We start from the raw sequence: 24,342 nt of genomic DNA, 5'->3' as shown, positions 1-24,342 counted from the left end.
AGCCAGGTGCAGTGGCTCACGCCTGTAATCCCAGCACTTTGGGAGGCCAAGACAGGCAGATCACGAGGTCAGGATATCGAGAACATCCTGGCTAACACAGTGAAACCCCGTCTCTACTAAAAATACAAAAAATTACCTGGGCGTGGTGGTGGGCGCCTGTAGTCCCATCTACTCGGGAGGCTGAGGCAGGAGAATGGCATGAAATGGGGAGGCAGAGCTTTCAGTGAGCCAAGATTGCGCCACTGCACTCCAGCCTGGGCGACAGAGCGAGACTCCGTCTCAAAAAAAAAACAAAACAAAACAAAAAAAAAACCTCGATCTGTCAGGATTTAAGTCTATTCCTTTAGCCGCTATGGCATTTTACTACCTACAAAGCAGACAGGGCCACTTTCTAAATTGCCCAGCCTACAGGCTGAATGTACCAGAGTCCTAAGCCACCACAAGGTCCCTCTGTGCACCCTCCTTCACCTATTTGTATAGCCATATGGCCCACCAGGAGTGCAGAAATACAGGCTATTTCACAGGTCAGCAGGAAATTCCCAATTGCCCTCAGGGCTAATCAGACACTCTCAGCCAACTTCTTTAAAATTAAGTTCCCATTTCTCTTAGTAAGTTCTGCTTGATGCTTCATAAGGTTCATGGCAAGTTAAATGCATTGCATATTCACCACTGGTAAGCAATGTAGATAAGAAATTCTAAAGAGAATATTTCATCTTCATTTCAATCTAGCAAACTTATAAAAGTATGGATTTTTAAACGGGATGCAAATGACACTAGAGCATAACTCATAGTGACAAGGAGAAAGGACTAATAAAGGAGTTTTTATGTGGTCACTTTGAATTAGACCTGTCAGTGACACTCTAGTGAATATTAACTGTGTGCATTTTTCCATCCCCCTTCAAACTGCTTGGCTTAAAATTCAAATAAAGTTGGTTCCTTGTGAAAACCCCCCTCCTGGTGGCATGAGAGAATTAATGTACTTTCAAAGGTAAACAATTTGCTCCTTTCTGCAGTTGGAGCAGAGCTGTTATAGATCATGCCAACTCAAAGGGAAAATAGAGTCAAGGAAACTGAAGAGTCAAAAGCCAACCACCTGGAAATTTATGTCAGTTTTTATGCTTAAGATCCTTCACTGCAAACAAATATCACACTTTAATGCCACAGCACAATAAAGAAAAACCTTTGACTTGTGGGCTTGTGGAAAAAGAAAAATGAAAAAGCAGCATTCATGTGGGAGTCAAAACCTATCCTGCACCTTAGGGAGGAATAAAAAAGCCCGTATGTTATTCCTTTTATCTCTGTTGGAGCCAAGGCGCAGATTGACTCAATGGACAGGAAACTGACAGTGATGGAGCAACTGCTGCTTACCTGATTGTTTCATCATGCTTATATCATTCAACTCTCATGCCCACCCTTGAAAGTAGGCAAAATGCCCTCATTTTAGAATTGACAAAAAAATTCAAGCTTAGAAACCTAAATGATTAATCAAAGGTCACTCTGTTAATTTGCAGTGATACAGAGCAAGCCAAAGACATTCTCAGACACCAAGCTTACCTAAACCAACTTCTTTTTCCTGCTCCTGCCAGCATATATAAACACATGCTTTTAAAATAATGACAGGCTAAATCTAGCAATCAAGTCATTATAGCATTCCAGTAAGTCTGCAAGTGACATGTTGTTTTCACCAAAGATGGACCAGGATATGACATTGTCTCCTTCTATTATGCCCAGCCAGCAGACTGACTGTCAGATGCCCACTGCGGTGATCTGTTTAGCAAGGTCAGCTGCTTGATTGCTATGAATAATTGGATGCCATTAATAATGGTCAGCTCCAGGATATAGGAAAGTGGTCAAGCGTGGTAATTGTATTTTGAATTCCAGCAGATTATTTCCTGGGAAGCAGGAAGACAACCACTATATAGGATACAGTTTTTCTAAGTAGAATAGAAATAATTGCTTCCCTAGAGGTGAAGGGGAGAAGCCAAGGGCTCCCGTAATAACATGTGTGACCATATCTAGTAAGAAACATGGAGGTCAAGGTTTTGCAAGTGATGGCTAATGCTATGAAGCCTGGCCATTACCATCACTAAAAGCCTTTACAAGTTCACATTCTTGTTATTCTCTTATTGAGAATAACACTAGAGCTTTACATGTTGAGGGGCCACCACCTAAATTTTGAAGCACCAGTGAGGTTAGACCAATGGCTAATTAGGAAATCTAATACAATTGATATCCATCTGAAAAGGTCAAGCATAAATCTTTTGCTGTTAAATGTGTATTAAATTCTCACCACATATTAAGGGCTGTAGATACTGCAAGATAATTAGGCAAAACATTATTATCTTAAAAAAAAAGCCCTGTCAAAAAATGAAGGGTTTTTAAAAATCTCCCAGGACATAATAATAAAAGTGAGAAATTAAAAAGAGATTGAAAAAAAAAGCACGTGAAAAGGAAAAACTAAAAGTGATTTTAGAGGATAGACTGCAGTATAGGCAACACATAAAGAGCAAAACATTTCATAGAAAAATATAATAGCTATCAGTTTCAGACTTTACTAAAGAAACTATTTCTTAAATTGTCAAGCAATGTGGGCAGAACAAATTAAAGTTAAAACTTATTATAGCAAAGGAAATATGGATGGGAGCATGGAATCATGATACAACTGCCTGAAATGAAATATTCAACACAAGCCTCAATTCTTGCCAGCTTTTCCATTATTTGAAGCTACCAGGAGTTGGATCATTTTGACCATTTTTTTTTTAAGTATTCAGTGTTTGGATGAACTCTACAGTGAAAAGAGATAAACAATCATAGAGCTAAAATTATAAAACTCTCATAAGAAAACATAAGGAATAAGTCTTTGTAACCTTGGGTTACACAATGGTTTCCTGGATCTGGCACCGAAAGATAGGTGACAAAAGAAAACACTTAGGCTGGGCGTGGTGGCTCATGCTTATAATCCCAGCACTTTGGGAGGCCGAGCTGGGCGGATCATGAGGTCAGGAGACCATCCTCGCCAACATGGTGAAACCCCGTCTCTACTAAAAATCCAAAAAATTGGCCAGGCGTGGTGGCTTACACCTGTAATCCCAGCACTTTGGGAGGCCGAGGTGGGCGGATCAAGAGGTCAGGAGATCAAGACCATCCTGGCTACGGTGAATCCCCGTCTCTACTAAACATACAAAAAATTAGCGGGGCCTGGTGGCGGGCGCCTGTAGTCCCAGCTACTCGGGAGGCTGAGGCAGGAGAATGGCGTGAACCCGGGAGGCGGAGCTTGCAGTGAGCTGAGATCACGCCACTGCTCTCCAGCCTGGGTGACAGAGTGAGTCTCCATCTCAAAAAAAAAAAAAAAAAAAACTAAACTAAAAATTAGCCGGGCCTGGTGGCACATGTTTATAGTCCCAGCTACTCGGGAGGCTGAGGCAGGGGAATCACTTGAACACCACACGTGAAAATTGCAGTGAGCCGAGATCACGCCACTGCACTCCAGTCTGGTGACAGAGTGAGACCTCATCTCAAAAAATATATATATATTGGACATTGGACTACATCAAAGTTAAAAACTTTTGTGTTGCAAATGAGATCATCAAGAAAGCTAAAAGATGACCCATGAAACACAAGAAAATACTTGCAAATCATATAGGTGATAAAGGATTTGTATCTCAATACAAATAGCCAAAAAATGAAAAGAACCCAAATGCTGGTCAACTGATAAGTGGATAAAGAAAATGTGGTATATCCATCCAGTAAAGTATTAATCGGCCATAAAAAGGAATGAAGACACTCACTACAAAGACACTCACTACAATGTGTTTGACTCTTGAAAACATTATGAAAAGTGAAGGAATCCAGTCACAGAAGGCCACATATTGTATGATTCTATTTAGGGTACATGTCCAGAATAAGCTAATTTGCAGAGACAGACAGTAGGTTAGGGGTTGTTTAGGGCTGAGGGAAGGATACAGGAGAGAAATGGGGATTGACTGATAATGGGTACAGGGTTTCCTTGAAGGGGGATGAAAATGTGCTAGAACTAGATTATGACGATGGTTGTGCAACCCTGTGAACGTGCTAAAAAAACATACAATTAATTTTACACTTTAAATGGATGAGCTGTATGATGTGAATTCTCTGTCAATAAATGCAAAGCTCCTTTTGAAAAAATCAAACACAAATAAAAACAGCATTGGATATTGGGTGCTTCCCTAGTGACAAGAATTACTGTATTCTCAGAATACGGGTCCAAAAGGGGAGAAGCAACTTGTCCTAGGCCCCACTTTGAGCCAATAATGAAACAAGATCCCTAAGATTTCTGCTTCCAGGTGATTCCCTAGACTCCAGTAACATTGGCAAATTTCTTAACCCTTTATGGTTCAAATTTATTTTTTATTTTTTTTGTTGGTGTCTTTTTCCCTCAGTGATGGTAGTCTTACTGACACATTTGCCCAGAAACATTTCTTTAAGGTGATATAAACGGAAGACAGGATAACCTAAAGGAAGTAGGCAATATCAACCTACAGAAGTCTATTTCCCTGGACAATAGTAAGTTACAAAACCTGGGCATGGTCTAAATAGTTCCCTGAAAAGAGTATTAGATGGAAACATGCATGGTTTTTAGGCCTGAGAAAATTATAGAAACAGGTGATGATCTGTCTATAGAAGTAAGGACCCCAAATCCATATTTCCCAGTCTTTAATAACGCCTACAGGTTAAGCAGGACAGAAACCAGGGTACAGAGGGTCAGTTCTTTGACTTTTGCTCTTAAAGTTAATGCCTTTTCCCAATAGAGAACATCCATTTCCTTCAAGAGCCACTTTTAAGCACACACAAAGCTTTGAGAAGCCAGAAAGGAAAGAAAGAGCCTCATCTCAGCTGCAATATTTCCAGAACCTTCAAGCATCTTATTTTAAAATCAGAAGAGACAAAATGCCTCAGACACCAGTGGTATCCTCATTTGTACAATGGAGAAAGTGAACACCACCTACCCGAAAAAAAAAGCCCAAGTAAGAAAAAGCAGCAAACGTGTGTGTGTGCATATGTGTGTGTGTGTGTGTGTGGCCTATGTGTGCTGGTAGCTCGGGTGCAAAGGTTTCTGGGAGAGCTAAGGCTGAACATCAGAACCTAGAGCATTTTTAGAGTTTTCTAGAACACAGCAGAGATGATACAGAATTTCCTTACGCCTGAAGAGGAGGCGTACACGAGATGGAAGACTGTAAGTTAGATCTTTGTTCTCCCTACTGCACTCTAGGCTTTAAAACAAATTCAATAATTACATAAAATTCAAGATTTATTTTGTCCTCTGTTCGTTCTTTTATCTGTAATACACCTGCAATTTTCAAGCTCCTATTTTCCTTGTTTTCTTTTACTTCTACTTGATTATTTTTATTTATTTTTCTTTTCATAAAATAAAAATGTTTCTCCAAGAGAGCACTGGCAAGCCTTGAGGTAGAGTAAATTAGCCAGTAACCATTTCTTTGACATCTATTCAACCACTACAAACCCACCTGAGAGTGAGGAGGAGAAAAGGTGAGAGAGGAGATTGGTAGGAATAGCACTCCATGTTTTATTCATCTTTTCAGGACACTGTAGAGATTAACTAATTACCCTACACTATGCATCTGTAGGAAAAAGAAGAGTAATCCAGCTGTGCTCTACTTTAAGAAAAACTGATTTATAAAAATTGAATTTATCAAAAATATAAATTATGAAATGAATCAGAAAACATTATTTATAGAAGTGTTCAATATAAGGTTGAATTTTAATAAGAGTGCACCCCTAGAGCATGTAAAATATGACATCATTTATGAAACTTGAATCATTCTTCTACCAAAACCCATTATTTAAAAATCCAAATTTATAAAAACAGATGTATTAGGGGGTTATTTGTTAAATTCATTAAAATATTTCTTTAAATAGCATGCCAATGCCACATCCCACCTCCAGGTACTAAAAATATCATTTGATTTGCTAGCAATTAATTAAATGCAAATTCAGGGAAACACAAGCTACTGTTAGAACTAAATATGCCTGTCTTTGTGTCTTTGTTCCTTTGGGTAAATAGGAAAATTGAAGATCTAAGGAATTCAGCAGTCACTCTCAGATTAATATTTATAATTAAATTCTCCTACTCTCTTATCTATAAAATATCTATCTTCTGTAATACTGATACACAAATAGACATAAATTATTCATGATCGGCCAGGCGCAGTGGCTCACGCCTGTAATCCCAGCACTTTGGGAGGCCCAGGCGGGCGGATCACGAGGTCAGGAGATCAAGACCATCCTGGCTAACACTGTGAAACCCTGTCTCTACTAAAAATACAAAAAAATTAGCCAGGCATGCTTGCGGGCACCTGTAGTCCCAGCTAGTCAGGAGGCTGAGGCAGGAGAATAGCGTGAACCCGGGAGGCGGAGCTTGCAGTGACCCAAGATCACGCCACTGCACTCCAGCCTGGGTTACACAGCAAGACCCTGTCTCAGAAAAACAAAAGAGAAAAAAATTATTCATGATCATGGAAAGAGCAGAGAAACATGACATCAAATAGTGAGTAGCAACAAAATAATTTCATTTTAACTTTTGGCTATATTTCTTATTTGCTTTAGATGTGTACCCAAAATAATTCAATAATCCAAAGATTGGCATTTGAAATATAATTTTCCATGTGCATAAATTGAAGTTGAATAATACTAAGCAGAATTTCTATGAGAAGTAGACCCAGGAATAGAATCCCAACAAGTGCTGTAATTTGAGGGTAGTTCTTAATAAAATATCATGGAGTGTGACAAAGGGCAAGTCCTCTGATTTTAACTGATCAAAGAATAAAAGCAAAGTAAAAGATTTCAGGGGCAGAGTATTACATACTGATGCTTTTCAAACAAATTGCATTTAAAAGTGAAACCCCTTCAAAATATCTGTACCTTAAGCATTCCTTTGACCAACCTGGGACTGACTTTTTAAAAGACAAAAGATGAATTCATTGGCCAGCTTGCATTTTTACTTTTGGAGGCAAAACATGGCAACAGACCTGCTCTCTCTAAAGTATAAGGCCCCAGCCAAATACTCTGTAACACTCTAGAGATCACGGTCTTTTGGGAACAGGCTCCCCAAAATCTGGCCATAAACTGGCCCCAAAACTGGCCATAAACAAAATCTCTGCAGCACTGTGGCATGTTTATGATGGCCATAATGCCCACACTGGAAGGCTGTGGGTTTACCGGAATGAAGGCAAGAAACACCTGGCCCACCCAGGGCAGAAAACCGCTTAAAGGCATTCTTAAACCACGAACAATAGAATGAGCGATCTGTGCCTTAAGGACATGCTCCTGCTGCAGATAACTAGTCAAACCCATCCTTTTATTTTGGCCCATCCCTTCATTTCCCATAAGGAATACTTTTAGTTAATCTATAATTTATAGAAATAATGCTTATCACTGGCTTGCTGTTAATAAATACGTGGGTAAATCTCTGTTCGAGGCTTTCAGCTCTGAAGGCTGTGAGATCCCTGATTTCCCACTTCATACCTCTATATTTCTGTGTGTGTGTCTTTAATTTCTCTAGCACTACTGGGTTAGGGTCTCCCTGACCGAGCTGGTCTCAGCAAGTGGCGTCCATTGTGGGGGCTCGAATCCAGGTTGAAGGGTCACCGGAATGATGGCTGGAGAATGTGGAACTAGCTGGAGGACACCTGAGTACTCTTAAAGCAATCCCTGTGGTGAGTAAGAAGAGGAGCTCAGAAGTGTCAGGGTAACAATGGGACAAGTATGGGCTCTGGTTCATTCTACCTTGGAACTTTTTCACACTGATAATGAGGAGGAAGGAGAGTATAACAAAGTAACAGAAGAGGTTACAGAGCAGGTTTATTTGCCAGCTAAAGCTAAAGCAGCAAAGGAGAGAGAGGTTCATCCCTTCCCTTCTGCACCCCCCTCATTATTATTTTGAAGAAAAAGAGTGGCCTGACCCTCCAGATCTTTCTTTTCTGGAGGACACTGAGCAAAAAGTAGTTGCCCCAGTGACTGTTTGAGCAGCACCTCAAGTGACCGCTCTTAGTTCTATTCAAGCAGGAATTGAGCAAGCTAGATGAGACGGTGATTTAGAGGCTTGGCAGTTCCCTATTAGAATACACCCCCCAGATCAACAGGGAAATATTATAGCTACATTTGAGCCTTTTCCTTTTAAATTAGTCAAAGGATTTAAAGAAGCTATTAATCAGTATGGACCAGGTTCTCCTTTTGTAATGGGACTGTTAAAGAATGTTGCTGTTTCCAGTCGGATGATTCCTACTGACTGGGATGCTCTTACTCGAGCTTGTCTAACTCCTGCTCAGTTCTTACAATTTAAAACTTGGTGGGCAGATGAAGCTTCCATTCAGGCTGCTTGCAACGCCCAGGCCCAACCTCAAATTAATATAACTGCAGACCAACTTTTGGGGATTGGCAGCTGGGCTGGTTGAGATGCACAAGTGGTCATGCAGGATGATGCCATAGAACAGCTTAGAGGAGTGTGTATTAGAGCTTGGGAAAAAATCACTTCAAGTGGAGAACAATACCCTTCCTTTATTGCTATGAAACAGGGACCAAAAGAACCATATGTGGATTTTATAGCTCGGTTACAGGAGTCTCTTAAAAAGGTGATTGCAGATTAAGCTGCTCAGGATATAGTGTTGCAGTTATTAGCTTTTGACAATGCTAATCCTGATTGCCAGGCTGCTCTGTGACCTATCAGAGGGAAAGCACATTTAGTTGATTATATCAAGGCCTGTGATGGTATTGGAGGTAATTTGCATAAGGCTATTCTGCTAGCACAGGGAATGGCAGGACTGAGAATGGATAAAGGAAATACTCCATTTCCTGGAGCTTGTTTTAACTGTGGGAAGCATGGTTATACTAAAAAAGAATGTAGAAAAACTCAGCGAGTCAGGCCACCAGATAGGGGAAAAAAGAAAACTGCTGAGTCTGAAATATGTCCAAAATGTAAAAAAGGAAAACATTGGGCTAATCAGTGTCACTCTAAGTTTGATAAAGACAGGAACCCGATTTCAGGAAACAACATGAGGGGCCCGCCCCGGGCCCCATTCCAAACAGGGGCATTTCCAGCTCAGGCCATTCCCTCACCCCTGTACAATGACTGTCCCCTGCCACAGCTGGTTGTGCCACACACAGTAGATTTATGCTGCACAAGAGCTGTGAGCCTTCTGCCTGGGGAACCCCCACAAAAGGTCCCAACAGGAGTCTGTGGACCCTTGCCAGCGGAGACAATAGGATTACTTCTAGGCAGGTTTGGTTTAAATTTAAAAGGGGTACAAATACACACAGGAGTCATTGATTCAGATTACAGTGGAGAAATTAAAATTGTTTTATCTACTTCTGTTCCCTGGAAATCAGAGCCAGGAGAGTTCATAGCACAGCTCCTTATTGTGCCATATGTGGGAATGGGGAAAAGTAAAATTTAAATGAACAGAAGTATTTGGAAGCACAAATACACAAGGCAAAGCAGCTTACTGGGTAAATCAAATTACTGATAAACGTCCTACCTGTGAAATAACTATTCAGGGAAAGAAGTTTAAAGGTTTGGTAGATACAGGAGTGGACATTTCAATCATTTCTCTACAGCATTGGCCATCCACGTGGCCAATTCAACCAGCTCAACTTAACATAGTTGGAGTTGGTAATGCCCCTGAAGTATATCAAAGTAGTTATATTTTGTATTGTGAAGGGCCCAATGGACAACCTGGGACTATTCAACCAAGTATAGCTTCTGTACCTATAAATTTATAGGGGAGAGATTTATTACAACAATGGGGAGCACAAGTTTTAATTCCAGAACAATTATACAGCCCTCAAAGTCAACATATGATGCATGAAATGGGGTACGTCCCTAGTATGGGACTAGGAAAAAATGTGCAAGGTTTGAAAGAACCGCTTCAAGCAGAAGGACAAAGTTCCCGCCAAAGATTAGTATATAATTTTTGATGGTGGCCACTGTTAAGCCTCCAGAAGCTATACCTTTAAAATGGTTAACAGATAAGCCAATTTGGATAGAACAATGGCCACTAAGTAAAGAGAAACTGGAGGCTTTAGAGAAATTAGTTACTGAACAATTAAAAAATGGGCACATAGCTCCAGCATTTTCCCCTTGGAATTCTCTAGTTTTCGTAAGTAAGAAAAAATCAGGTAAATGGAGAATCTTAACTGACGTAAGAGCCATCAATTCAGTTATACAACCTATCAGAGCATTACAGCCAGGATTGCCTTCTCCTGCTATAATTCCAAAAAACTGGTCTTTAATAGTCATAGATTTAAAAGACTGTTTCTTTATTATCCCCTTAGCTGAGCAAGACTGAATGGTTTGCATTTACAATTCCTGCGGTAAACAACCTGCAGCCTGCTAAGTGTTTTCATTGTTTTACAGATAGGTCTAATAATGGTAAAGCTTCTTATTCTGGCTCAAAAAGTAAAGTTTTATAGATGCCCTATACTTCAGCTCAAAAAGCGAAGCTTGTAGCTGTAATTGAGGTATTGACTGCTTTTGATATGCCTATTAATATAATTTCTGATTCTTCATACGTGGTTCATTCCACACAGTTAATTAAAAATGCTCAGTTATGATTTCATACAGATAAACAACTGATGACAAAAACAAAAAAGGGGGAGAAATAGGGATTACGGGACAGCCCATACACAATTGAATCTAGCATTATTAACTTTAAATTTTTTGAGCCTGCCCAAAGGCCAGATGTTATCAGCAGCTGAACAGCATCTACAAAAACCAGCTGCAAAGACAGAAGCAAAACAATTGGTTTGGTGGAGATATCCGATAACAAAAAGTTGGAAAATATGTAAAATAATAACTTGGGGTAGAGGTTATGCTTGTGTTTCTCCAGGCCAAAATCAACAGCCGATTTGGATACCATCAAGACACCTGAAAAGTTATCACAAGCCAGATGCCAAGGAAGAGATTCTGGGGAGGATCCCGAGGACCCCCAGTTGCAGCCATGTCGATACTGACACTGAGGAGGACCCCAACTGTCACGAGCAACACCCGTTGAACACAGACACCCACCTGGGGACAGATCAAAAAGCTGTCACAGATGGCAAAAGAAAACCTAAGGAAGGCAGGACAGCCAGTCACAATAAGTAATTTAATGGTAGCTATGATAACGGTGATCACCACTGCCGTGAGTATTCCTTCAATAAGGGCTGACTCAGAGAACAATTATACTCATTGGGCATATTTATCAATCTTGGCTGGCAATAGTGCCTGGATGTAATCACTCTATAACACAGTTACACATGCTTTCTGATCTCAGTATTTACCATAATAAACCTGCTCCTATAATTGAAGTATATCACCCTCAAAAACTTTTTTGTAAACAGGATTGGACCCAGTCAGAAAAAATGAACATACTTGTTTAGGAAGATTGCATTGCAGAACAGGCAGAGGAGCTGCACAACGATTCCTATGGAATCATTATTAATTGGTCCCCTAAGGGGATGTTTAGCTTAAGTTGTACCTCTCAGCCTGCATGCCACAGCCACACTATGTTCAGCTGATCCGAACCAAACAGTCAGATGGTAGAAATGGCAAGAAGTACGGCCAGAGTTCCTACTATCTGGAACCATGGTGGTATAGTGGCACCTCAACCTCAAATGATATGGCTCGCTGTAGGAGCTAAACATAAGGATTTATGGAAACTATTAATAGCTCTTAGTAAGATCAAAATTTGGGAAAGAATAAAAAAGCATCTAGAAGCACATTCTACAAACTTGTTTTTGGATGTTGCAAAATTAAAAGAACCAATATTTGAAGCATCCCAGGCACACCTGACCTTAATGCCAGGAAATGGAGTGCCTGAAGGAGCTGCAAACAGACTAGCAGCTAGTAACCCATTAAAATGAATAAAAATACTTGGAAGCTCTGTAATTTAAACGATGATTGTGCTTTTAATCTGTGTTGTTTGTCACTGTATAGTCTGCAGATGCAGATCCTGATTCCTGCGAGAAGTAGCTCACCATGACAAAGCTGCCTTTCCTTTTATCGATTTGTAAATCAAAGAAGGGGGACATGTTGGGAACAGCGCCCCCCCACCCAAATCTAGCCATAAATTGGCCCCAAAACTGGCCATAAACAAAATCTCTGCAGCACTGTGACATGTTCATGATGGCCATAACACCCACACTGGAAGGTTGTGGGTTTACCGGAATGAGGGCAAGGAACACCTGGCCCGCCCAGGGCAGAAAACCACTTAAAGGCACTCTTAAACCACAAACAATAGAATGAGCGATCTGTGCCTTAAGGACATGCTCCTGCTGCAGATAACTAGCCAAACCCATCCTTTCATTTTGGCCCATCCCTTCGTTTCCCATAAGGAATGCTTTTAGTTCATCTATAATCTATAGAAACAATGCTTATCACTGGCTTGCTGTTAATAAATACGTGGGCAAATCTCTGTTCGAGGCTCTCAGTTCTGAAGGCTGTGAGACCCCTGATTTCCCACTTCACACCTCTGTATTTCTGTGTGTGTGTGTCTTCAGTTCCTCTAGCACCGCTGGGTTAGGGTCTCGGCGATGGTCTCGGCAATGGTCAAAGTGGCTTAGAAATTTGTGCAAGCATTACCATCTCCCAAATCAAAGTCTAAAATATTAGTTCAAGGTGAGAAATATGTACTATAAATTCTCTTAAGATGATTCATTAGAAGTCCAGAGAATTTGAGCTTTGCGGCAATAGAGCTGAAGGTTTGACCAACAAAAAAGCAACGTAATGAATTTAAAACTGAATACATGCCCAGTATTCCAGATAATTCCAAGGTAGGCAAAACATGAAGCTTCATGTAAGATTCTCATATTGACTAAGACTTTTAACTTATTAATGCACTCCCTCTCTAATAAAGTCTGACAAGGCCAGGTAAAAGGAAATATTCTTGATAAAATAGGAGCATGGAACTAAATAGCACAAGGGAATAAAATTGCTTCTAATAATCTATTTAAAGACTCTATTAAGTAATGCTGGTTCACTTTGAATCTGATATTGGAGCTACCTATGAGTTCCACATGAATATGGAGTGATTAAAAACAATTCTCTCAGACAATGAGTATTAAAGCAGGTTCTGCTTGTGGAAAACAGATAAGGGGCCTTTTGGCAAAATCAAAACACTAGGACTGAATATACATATGGGGTATTCTTTGAGAGGGAAGCTATGGCTGAATGGAGATTTAAAAAACAAAACAGTGCTATGAATAGGGACAGCCATGCATGTAATTTTTGTCAAGACAAATTGGCTGATTAAACCTGTTAGATATTGTAATAATACAAAAGAAGAGCTGGTGAGAAAATTCAGTGAGCTCAAATGAATAATAAAACTGAAAATGAAAAAAGATTACAACATCACTTCAAAAAATGGAGCTAATAATAATGTTCTTTGTGTCCATGGCATCTTTTATCATAGCAGTTCAGAGCATTTCACAGAATCACTGAATCATGACTTTTATAGTTGATAGCAGCCAAAAAGATGATCACGTCCAAACATGTGTCCAAACCTTCTGTCTCCTATACAACATCCCCCCCACACAGTCACACAATCTATGTGAACCCTCCAATAATCTTATTTCCTCCTGAGTGCACCATGTGAGATCCATACGAGGAGGGTCCAGAATATTCATACTTATCATTTTCTTTGCAATGAAGCACACAGCAAAATTATATATTGGGCAGAGCAGTAAGTTGGTAAGACAAGAGAACAGGAAAACAAGAGAAGACTACAAAAGTTTGTACTCCACCAACAGGAAATGTCTGATGTCCTGGGCAGGAGGCAGGTCACTGGTTCTGGCAGTACCTCTGCACTTCAGGTGAAAGAATCATCATTAATCATTTCCCCAACCATGAGAATTTGTGGCTTCATGTCTAATAGCATGTGGGTTACCTTGTCCTGATATTTACAAATGAAAACTGGCATAGAGGTAATCATCTCAATAGGTAGCGAAGAAAATCAATCTCATTTCTTCTTGAAGGAAACACTTTGATATGTGAACAAATATTTCTGTGGCTTGGAGGCTGTGACTGTAGCCACCATGGGGCCATTTTGATGCACATGTAGGAATTACGTCAGCCCACAGTTATCCCATAGGGGCCTCTTCTAGGGCCAAGATTATGGGTCACTGGGGAAGCAGGTCAGTTGGAAAAGTCTGTGGATTGTAAACTTTAGTCCAGCTGATTCTGGTGATATCCTTCAGCATTGATTACCCAGCACATGCTCAGAAAGCATTAAGCTTCCAGGTATCAACAAAATTCTTCCATATTCTCAGGGATCCTTTAACCCTAGAGAAAGAACCCAGAACCAGAGTACATTCTACCAATTTAAGGATGGATAGGCTGGCCACCTAATTTTTCTACCTCAGAGACCTCCTAGGGCAGAGATTCTTAACTCTTAACCCAAGGTCCATGGATAAATACAGGGGGTCTATGAATTTGATTGGAGGTTATATATATTTTTATTTTACTTTTACTAACAACTAACTGAAGTTTAGCATGTTATTTAACTATGAATAAGCAAAAAAAACTATAGTGGAATCAATGGTACCTGTTACTTTGTCACCAATGGAAATCACAGATATTTTTATACCATATTACTACTGGTCCAGATATCTCAAAATATGCTCATCCTGTTGCAATATAATGGAAGTTACTAGGCACATCAGATCTTGTTATTTAACATGTTAATAAAATGCATATGTATTGCTATATCACACGTTTGTTTTTTAATATGATGATATATTTCAATATAATTATATATAGAGAGAAAGCATTTGTAATATAATTGGGTTCCTTTGTAGCCCTAGTTATTTTAATTTTTACTTCACCTGGCCTCCAAGGTAAACATGGTACAAGGGGGTACAGGGTACCAAAAACATGGAAGAAAAAAAAGAAAGAGAGAGAAGTTCAGAGGCATTATTCAGGGCTGATATGGGGGTTGTTTGCACAGGTTAGTATATGGCCCTGCAGGAGAAATAAGGCCACATAACATTGCACTTGATTAATGTTACACTGCTAATCAGGAACCACCAGAGGACAGCCCTGTTTGAAAGCTGTGCCTCCACGTGCACAAGCCCACTTCCTGAGAGGGCTGTGGCAAAGACTTGGACTCTAAGTGTCACAGACACAGTGAACGGGCACAGATGTGCATATCCTGTCCCTCTCCCCAGTCCCTACTCCATCATTCATTTCCTATTTCTTCACATGAAATTAGAATGATCTCTTCTGTGTCCTCTCAATTTCATTTTTCCCCATCATATCCCTATTTCTCAATGTTGATCTGCTAGGCTTCCTTCCTTGTACCTCTGATTATATATATATATATATATATATATATATATATATATATATATATATATATATTTACTATATATATATTTTTTACTATATATATATTTATTACGTTCCCTGCTTCCACCATGGATGACGCTTACAGCCACCAGCTGCTCTGTGGGAGCATGTGACTTTAACAGTTTCAGATGTCCCCAAACCACACCAGCTGTCCTATAACAGGTATCATCAGAGCACAGAGAGGAGGAGTGCCCACAGGTGGAGGCAGCACAGCTTCCCGTCTGGGAATTCCCTGGTGAGTAAGTCTGGCTCACAGCTACTACGCAAGCCCGCAACAAATATTTCCCAGGTTCAGATTCAGATCTGCTCCCATTATAGTCTTCAAATTCTGCTAACTGGAAGAAATTAAATTTTATTTTATTTTATTTTGAGATAGGGTCTTGCTCTGTTGCCCAGGCTGGAGTGCAGTGGTGTGATCTCGGCTCACTGCAACCTCCACCTCCTGGGTTCAAGCGATTCTCCTGCCTTGGCCTCCCAAGTAGCTGGGATTACAGGCATGTGTCACAAACACCTGGCTAATTTTTGTACTTTTAGTAGAGACGGGGTTTCGCCATGTTGGCCAGGCTGGTCTCTGACAGCTGGAGGACTTCATAAGCAGACAATAAAATCAGTGCCAAAAGAGAAGAAATCAGTGCCCAGAAAATAAACCTAGAACAGGATGAATCTGCATAGGAAAAAGAGCACGTACTGACAGACAACAGAATTCCTCCCTCATTAGAAGGGTCGTTACAAGGAAGGAAGAGAGAGAGGAAGGAAGAAAGGAAGCTGCAAGTCACTTCTCATTAAGACATCATCAATATTATCTGAACAACAGAGAAAAAAGATGGGCAGTCACCAACAAGTGGCTGAGTTTCTTCACTGACTAGACACGGGTTAGCTACAAGCAAAGCTTACATTTGTATTGCCATTCTATTCTGATTATCTGACAGAGCAGCTCTTCCAAAACAAATTTTAAATGGACCCTTCTGCAGAATACGTTGTTTCCTTCTGCCTCAGGAAGATACTCAAGTCAGAGAGAGACACAGAATCCCAATTGTTGAAAGCGGTATGTGTTGCTGCCAACATGATTATTTACAAAGGCCAATCAGACCATGTCACTCTCTTGCACAACACCCTGCAAGAGAGTCACATTGCACTGGGAATAAAGGGCAACCTCCTTCCCATAGTTTCCCTTTCTGACCTGGCTACAGTCGACTTCTCCGTCTCATCTTGGGCCAACCCCACCCAACTTCAATCACTGGCCTCTTTCTTTGTTGCTCAAGAAAATCATATTTTCCCATTCAGAGCCTTTTCTCTTCTTATTCCTTGGCCTGGACCATTTAATTCCCAAATCTTTCCATGACTAACCCTTTCTTGCCATTTACGTTTTAGCTCAAATGCCACTATAGCAAAGAGGGTTTCTTGACCACCAAACTATACTACTCCACGTCCTGATCCCATCCATTTCACCATCTTACTTCATTTCTTCAGAGTAGCAATCTTGTATGGAATTCTTATTCTTTGCTTACCTTCCCATCTTCTCCATGACAGCAAGAACTTTATCAGCCTTTTCCACAGCCATACTGCCAGCCATTAGGGCTCCTAGCACATAGCACTCAATATATATTTGTGTGGATCAAGTGAATGTTAAATGACTATCCTGGCTTGGAATGAGTTAATGGTGTAACCCATTTTCCAAGCTCTGATAGTTGGAGCTTGAATCTGACATCGGAGGTCAGCACACAAACACAGTTGCAGAAGGAATCTCCTTTCTGGAGATAAAGTATACCAGTAACATCAAAGTATTTTATTTTGTATCATTTAGTTAGAATCGTTGGCCATTCCTACCTACCACAAGAGGGGGATTGGAGGGGAGTGCAATACAGTTAATTCTGAGCTATGGTACAAAAATATACATTAATTTGATAGGGAAAAATACCACTATTGCCACGTCATACACTAAGAAGCAACAGGCACCAAAGAATAAGGATGAGTTTCTAAGTCAGACTCAGAGTCACATCACACCCCAGGTCTTCCATCTCTCTTACTGACTGAATTGCGACCCCCCCTAAAAAAAATCATATGTTGAAGCCCTAACCCCTAATGTGACTGGATTTTGAGATAAGTCCTTTAAGGAGGTAATTAAGGTTAAATGAAACCTATACAGTATGGCCCTAATGAAGTAGGACTAGTGACCTCCAAAGTAAAGAGGAAGATAATGCCAGAGATCATTGATCTTGATCTTTCTCTCTCTTTTTATGCAGAGTATCACAGAAGGTGCCCAAAGGTCACTGTGAAACCTACTAAAGCCTACTATGATCAACGCCTCAGCGAATCACCTGTTTGCATCCCACTAATCACTGAATGTATTTGTCAATATGAAGGCAACTGAATAACCAATTAAGAAGCCAAAATGGTCTGTCAGCACCATGTAGAACATACAGTTTAGTGGTAAGACTAAATCACTATCAAACAAATAAATTAGAAGGAGGCTTTTCAACTCTGGCCAATAGATTTGTCTTTATAGACGTGGCATTTATGAATTTGGAATATTTAAAAAACCAAATAAATTATCTGGTAATAAATATTTAGTAATCATCTGAATACCAAATAACGTAATTTATTTTTAAGTAAATGTTGTTCCTTTAGGCAACTCACATCATATGTCTATGCCTCAGGTGCCTCACGTATAAAAAGGGGAAGCTGACACACCTTATCGTAAAGGCATTTCTAGCTCTCAGGGTCTAGTAAGAATCCTCTCTCCTACCTGACCCCCACTGCCCCTGCCTTTTGATCAGTTGCACACACTTACAGGTCAGCCACCTACAGTTAGCAGTACAGTCTGGATCAATGAAATCAGACAAAGTTTATGTCTTCAAAACACCCCCAGTACTTTAATATCTCTGTAATTCAACCTCTTCTAAAGCTAGGGATTGAAAGGTAATATTAGCATATTAACTCTGGCGCTTGTGTTCATTCTCTGGTGGGGAATGTAAACTGACAGTGCTAATAACACATTTTTCATGGCTCAGATCATCATCATTGCACCAGAAAACCTGTTTGATATAACTTAGCCCACCCCTATGTGAGCTAAATTCCAAGTACTATTCGAGATTTATATTGTGTCTGGTCCCAGAGGAGCATGCAAAGAGCCTCAGTTCCTGGGAAAGGCTTACAGAGGCTTTATGGGTGCTTACATCTGGATCCTGAGTGCACAACAAAAGAGAAGGGCTGGATTTGCTGTGCATGTTCACTAAAATAGCCTGAAGGATGTGTTTTTCTCTTTTTAAAAGATGAGGGTGTTAAGTGGGTATTTTTTTTTCTTGAAAGGTTTGAACTTGCATATGAAGCATTTGGTCAGACAACCGCAAGGATGTGTGTCCTTCTGATAAAACCCAGAATTGTGTTCTATGCCCTGCAGAAATCTCCACAGTATTCTCTTGATGTGATTTCCAGTCAAGAGTCTGACAACATGAAAAAGCACATTTGGGTCCCTAACACCTTCCTATTGCTGAAGCTTCCAATAGCATGTCCAAAACAATTCTCAATATTTATTTTGTGCACTTTTTCTTTGTTAACTGACAAATAAAAATTATAAATATTTATGGTGTACATGATGTTTTGAATGTGTATACATCATGAAATGGCAAACTTGAGGTACTTAGCATATGTACTACCTCATACTTTTTTTGTGGTAAAAACATTTAAAATCTACTTTCTTAGAATTTTCAAGAATAAAATATATTGTCATTAACTATAGTCACCATAATGTACATCTTTGAACTTATTCCTCCCGTCTGAGTAAAATTTTATATCCTTTAACTAATATCTCTCCAATCTCTCTTGTGTACTTTTAAAAAAGTCACTCTGATGTGAAGAATGTTTTCCCACTCATCTTACCATGAAATAAAACCCATTTTATACCACAATTATAGAAACAACATTTAATTTAAATACTGAAATATTTGTGTAATTGTTTTCCATATATTTGTATGCTTCAACAGTTATTAATTATAAACACGGAGGTTTTATCTCTGCTTTTAAGAAATTAATACCATTTAATGGACTCGTGCTTTTGAACGACTGTAAAGCAAGAAAAAAATTCATTGGGATGAAAACTCTCTCTCTGTATATACATATAAGTCTAGAGATATCTAAAGAGAGTCTACAGTTAGAGATATCTATACATAGATATATATCACGCATCTAAGTGATTTTCATTATAGAAAATAATATTGTTCATAATATAAATCATAAAATAAAACATTAAGGCCTGGCGCAGTGGCTCACGCCTGTAATCCTAACACTTTGGGAAGCCAAGGCGGGTGGATCACGAGCTCAGGAGATTGAGACCATCCTGGCTAACACGGTGAAACCCCGTCTCTACTAAAAATACAGAAAAATTAGCCGGGCATGGTGGCTGGTGCATGTAATCCCAGCTACTTGGGAGGCTGAGGCAGAAAAATGGCACGAACCTGGGAGGTGGAGCTTGCAGTGAACCAAGTTCACGCCACTGCACTCCAGCCTGGGTGACAGAGCGAGACTCTATCTGATAAATAAATAAATAAATAAATGCCGAGAGCGGTGGCTCATGCCTGTAATCCCAGCATTTTGGGAGGCCGAGGCAGGTGGATCACGATGTCAGGAGATAGAGACCACCCTGGCTAAACACGATGAAACCCCATCTCCACTAAAAATACAAAAAATTAGCCAGGCGTGGTGGCGGGCACCTGTAGTCCCAGCTACTCTGGAGGCTGAGGCAGGGAAATGGCTTGAACCTGGGAGACGGAGCTTGCAGTGAGCCAAGATGGCACCACTGCACTCCAGCCTGGGCAACAGAGCAAGACTCTGTCTCAAAAAAAATAAATAAATAAAATAAAAATAAATAAATGACTCTGTCTCAAAAAAATAGAAATAAAATAAAAATAAATAAATAATAAATAAAATAAATCAATATAAAACATTAAATCACATAGAAAAACATACAATAAAATGTAAAACTTTAACTTTTTTATTCTTCTCCCCATTTTCCATTTTAACTCTCCAGAAATAACAAAAAGTTTTTTCTTTCCAGAATTTTTTTCCAAGAAAACAAGTGTGTGTGTATAAAAATATATGTGTATATATAAGCATGCACATATACACACATACACACACAGCCCATGTGTGTGTTTAGGTATATATACTACATATATCTTTCTTTATTAACTGGTGCTGATAACTACGCTAGAAGCCAATCATATAAACCAGATTTTTGGCAGGGAACTCAGAAATAAAATCTTGCCATTTTACATAGCTGTATTTTCCTATAGGAAAAAAATATGTGGCCGGGCACTATGGCTCATGCCTGTAATCCCAGCACTTCGGGTGGCCATGACAGATGGATCACCTGAGGTCAGGACTTTGAGACCAGACTGGACAACATGGTGAAACCCCGTCTCTACTAAAAACACAAAAAATTTAGCCAGATGTAGTGGCGGGCACCTGTAATCCCAGCTACTCAGGAGTCTGAGGGAGGAGAATTGCTTGAACCCCAGGAGGTGGAGGTTGCAGTGAGCTAAGATTGCGCCATTACACTCGAGCCTGGGCGACGAGCGAAACTCCGTCTCAAAAAAAAGCGTGTGTATGTGTGTGTGTGTGTGTGTGTATTCTGTTGCTGAACATATATTATGTATGCTAAACATATCTAATATTTATATTATATATATCTAAATTTATTATATAAATATATCATACTAATTATATATAATTATAATTATATTGTAATTCTTCATTATTAATTATATGTATATTTATATTAAACATATTATATCATGTATATTATATTATATATTATTTCATATTTACATAACATTTAATATATATCATATATGTTTAGCAATAGAAGTTATAAGAATGATAACTATTCATTATTTAGTATTTACTCTTTACCAGGGCAGTGCCTAGCACTAAACAAGCATATTACCTATATTATCTCACTGAAAACTTACAATAACTCCATGAGAGATGCGTTATTCAGATTTTACAGATAAATAACTGAAAATTAAAGAAGCTAAATAATTTGTTCACGATCAAACGATTTGTGGTCAATGCAATATTGCAGAGCCAACAATGTTAATTCGTATACCTTTTTGTTAGATTTGTAACTTTGGGAACAAATGATAAATAAAAAATATATTTTCTGGAAAAATATGAGAAGACAAAATAAACTATTTGCTAGTATACAGGTGAAGAAAAAATAATTTTTGCCCACATAGCAATTTATTAAACAAATTCCAAAAATGAAAGTTATTTTATAAGCAAGTTATGCCATACAGTCAGAGAAAGAGAGAGAGAGGAAGAAACAGAGAGACAGAGAAGGAGTCAGAGAGAAAGAGGGACAGACACAGAAAGTCAAAGACAGAGTTAGAAAGAGAGGAAGAGACAAAGAAGAAGTCGAAGAGAGAAAGAGAGAGAAAGAAATAGTAAAGAAAAAAGCAGTGTACCCTATTCCTTTAAAAGCCAGGGTAAATTTCTGTCTACCCAGCCAAGGCATATTCTACTTATGTGGATCTTCAACCCATATCTGCCTCTCAGACAGTTTGCAAGAAATAACAAAACCTATCCTTACTCTACAATCCCAAATAGACTCTTTGGCAGCAGTGACTCTCCAAAACCGCCAAGGCCTAGACCTCCTCACTGTTGAGAAAGGAGGACTCTGCACCTTCTTAGGGGAAGAGTGTTGTTTTTACACTAACCAGTCAGGGATAGTATGAGATGCCGCCCGGCGTTTACAGGAAAAGGCTTCTGAAATCAGACAACACCTTTCAAATTCTTATACCAACCCCTGGAGTTGGGCAACATGCCTTCTCCCCTTTCTAGGTCCCGTGGCAGCCATCTTACTGTTACTCACCTTTGGAACCTGTATTTTTAACCTTCTTGCCAAATTTGTTTCCTCTAGAATCGAGGCCACTAAGCTACAGATGGTCTCACAAATGGAACCCCAAAAGAGTTCAACTAACAACTTCTACCAAGGACCCCTGGACTGACCCGCTGGCACTTCCACTGGCCTAGAGAGTTCCCCTCTGGAGGACACTAGAACTGCAGGGCCCCTTCTTTGCCCCTATCCAGCAGGAAGTAGCTAGAGTGGTCATCAGCCAAATTCCCAACAGCAGTTGGGGTGTCCTGTTTAGAGGGGGGATTGAGAGATGACGGCATGCTGGCAGCCCTCACAGCCCTCGCTCGCTCTCGGCGCCTCCTCTGCCTGGGTGCCCACTCTGGCGGCACTTGAGGAGCCCTTCAGGCTGCCGCTGCACCGTGGGAGCCCCTTCCTGGGCTGGCCAAGGCCGGAGCTGGCTTCCTTGGCTTGCAGGGAGGTGTGGAAGGAGAGGCGTGGGCGGGAACTGGGGCTGCACATGGCGCTTGTGGGCCAGCACGAGTTCCAGGTGGGCATGGGCTCGGCGGGCCCCACACTCGGAGAGGCCGGCCGCAAGCCCCGGGCAGTGAGGGGCTTAGCACCTGGGCCAGCAGCTGCTGTGGTCAATTTCTCGCCAGGCCTTAGCTGCCTCCCCGCAGGGCAGGGCTTGGGTCCTGCAGCCCCCCATGCCTGAGCCTCCCCACACCGCTGTGAGCTTCACTCACGAGACCACGAACCACCAGAAGGCCGAACACATCCCAACATCAGAACGAACAAACTCCGGACACGCCGCCTTTAAGAACCGTAACACTCACCGTGAGGGTCCGCGGCTTCGTTCTTGAAGTCACTGAGAGCAAGAACCCACCAATTCTGGACACAATACCATTCCCAGGCATTTCCCCTTTGAAGACAGTGGGCAAGGTTTGTCAACTTTGGTGACTTCCTCTTTTTAAACTTCCCTTTCCTGGTTCCACCACATTTCCCAATTCCTTGGATTGAGACAAGCCAGTAGACCTTGCTGACTTTCTTTCCTCATACTGCCTCTCTTCCAGTTCTCCTTTGCAGGCACTCAAGTTATGGATCCTTCTCTCCTTCCCCAGCCCCCAAAGTTCCACCCCACCATAACCTCACCAGCTCAAAACAAAAGCCAACACTCCAGAGGAAAAGACTTCACCGGGGGGGAAATATTGCAATTTTATTCTTCCTGGGAGAAGATGGCTCTTGCCCACTGCAGCCCATGCCAACCCTCCTTTCTCACCCCAAGAGGAGGATGGGGAGCCATATTCAACCAGAGACAGGGCCACGAAAGTAAAAACAGATCTGGAATGCTGTAGCAAAGAAAAGGAGTAGGGGGCATGGAGGAAGGGAGAAATGCTATAGCCCTAGAGGAGGGACAGAAACACTTGTAAAAGACATACCCCAAGACATAGGCCTAGTGATAGACTGAGACTTAATCAGAAAATTAAAGCATGCTCTTTCTTCCCAACACCCACCATGACACTAGCAAGTCCCAGTATAATAATGGTGGATTCAAGTTAAAAGAACTGCAAGACATACTCTTCCTTGAGAGCAATACAGAGAAAAGTCCCAAAGCCAAGAAATGAAAAGAAACAAGGTATTACTGGAATTTGATGCCTCTGATAGCTGTCACTACAACAAACATTAAATAACTTTCTATCTCCTCACCATATTTTAACACAAATTCTTGTAATAAATACCTATTTATCTCAGTATCTGTCACCCATAAAACACATCCAGCTTTCAGAAAAAATACAAACTATGCCAAAGACAAGACACACTCTGAAGACACAAAGCAATCATCAGAACCAAACTCAACTATGACACAAATGTTAGAATTATCAAACAAGGAATTAAAAATAGCTAAAATTGGGGCCGGGTGCAATGGCTCACGCCTGTAATCCCAGCACTTTGGGAGGCTGAGGCAGGCATATCATTAAGTCAGGAGTTCCAGACCGGCCTGGCCAGCATGGTGAAACCCCATCTCTACTAAAAATACAAAAAAAAAAAAAAAAAATTAGCCAGGCATGGTGGTGCATTCCTGTAGTCCCAGCTACTCAGGAGGCTGAGGCAG

General features: G+C 40.5%; 1 long non-coding RNA gene across 1 annotated transcript in view; it reads right to left on the bottom strand.

Annotated features, from left to right (window-relative positions):
- The window catches only part of LINC01317 (long intergenic non-protein coding RNA 1317), a 590,861-nt gene that overhangs the window by 371,134 nt on the left and 195,385 nt on the right, over positions 1 to 24,342 (bottom strand). The window lies entirely within an intron of this gene.

Source organism: Homo sapiens, chromosome 2, assembly GCF_000001405.40.
Source record: "Homo sapiens chromosome 2, GRCh38.p14 Primary Assembly".
NCBI lineage: Eukaryota > Metazoa > Chordata > Mammalia > Primates > Hominidae > Homo > Homo sapiens.
Note: the sequence above shows the minus strand (reverse complement) of the source record. Positions and strands in the feature narration are given on the sequence as shown.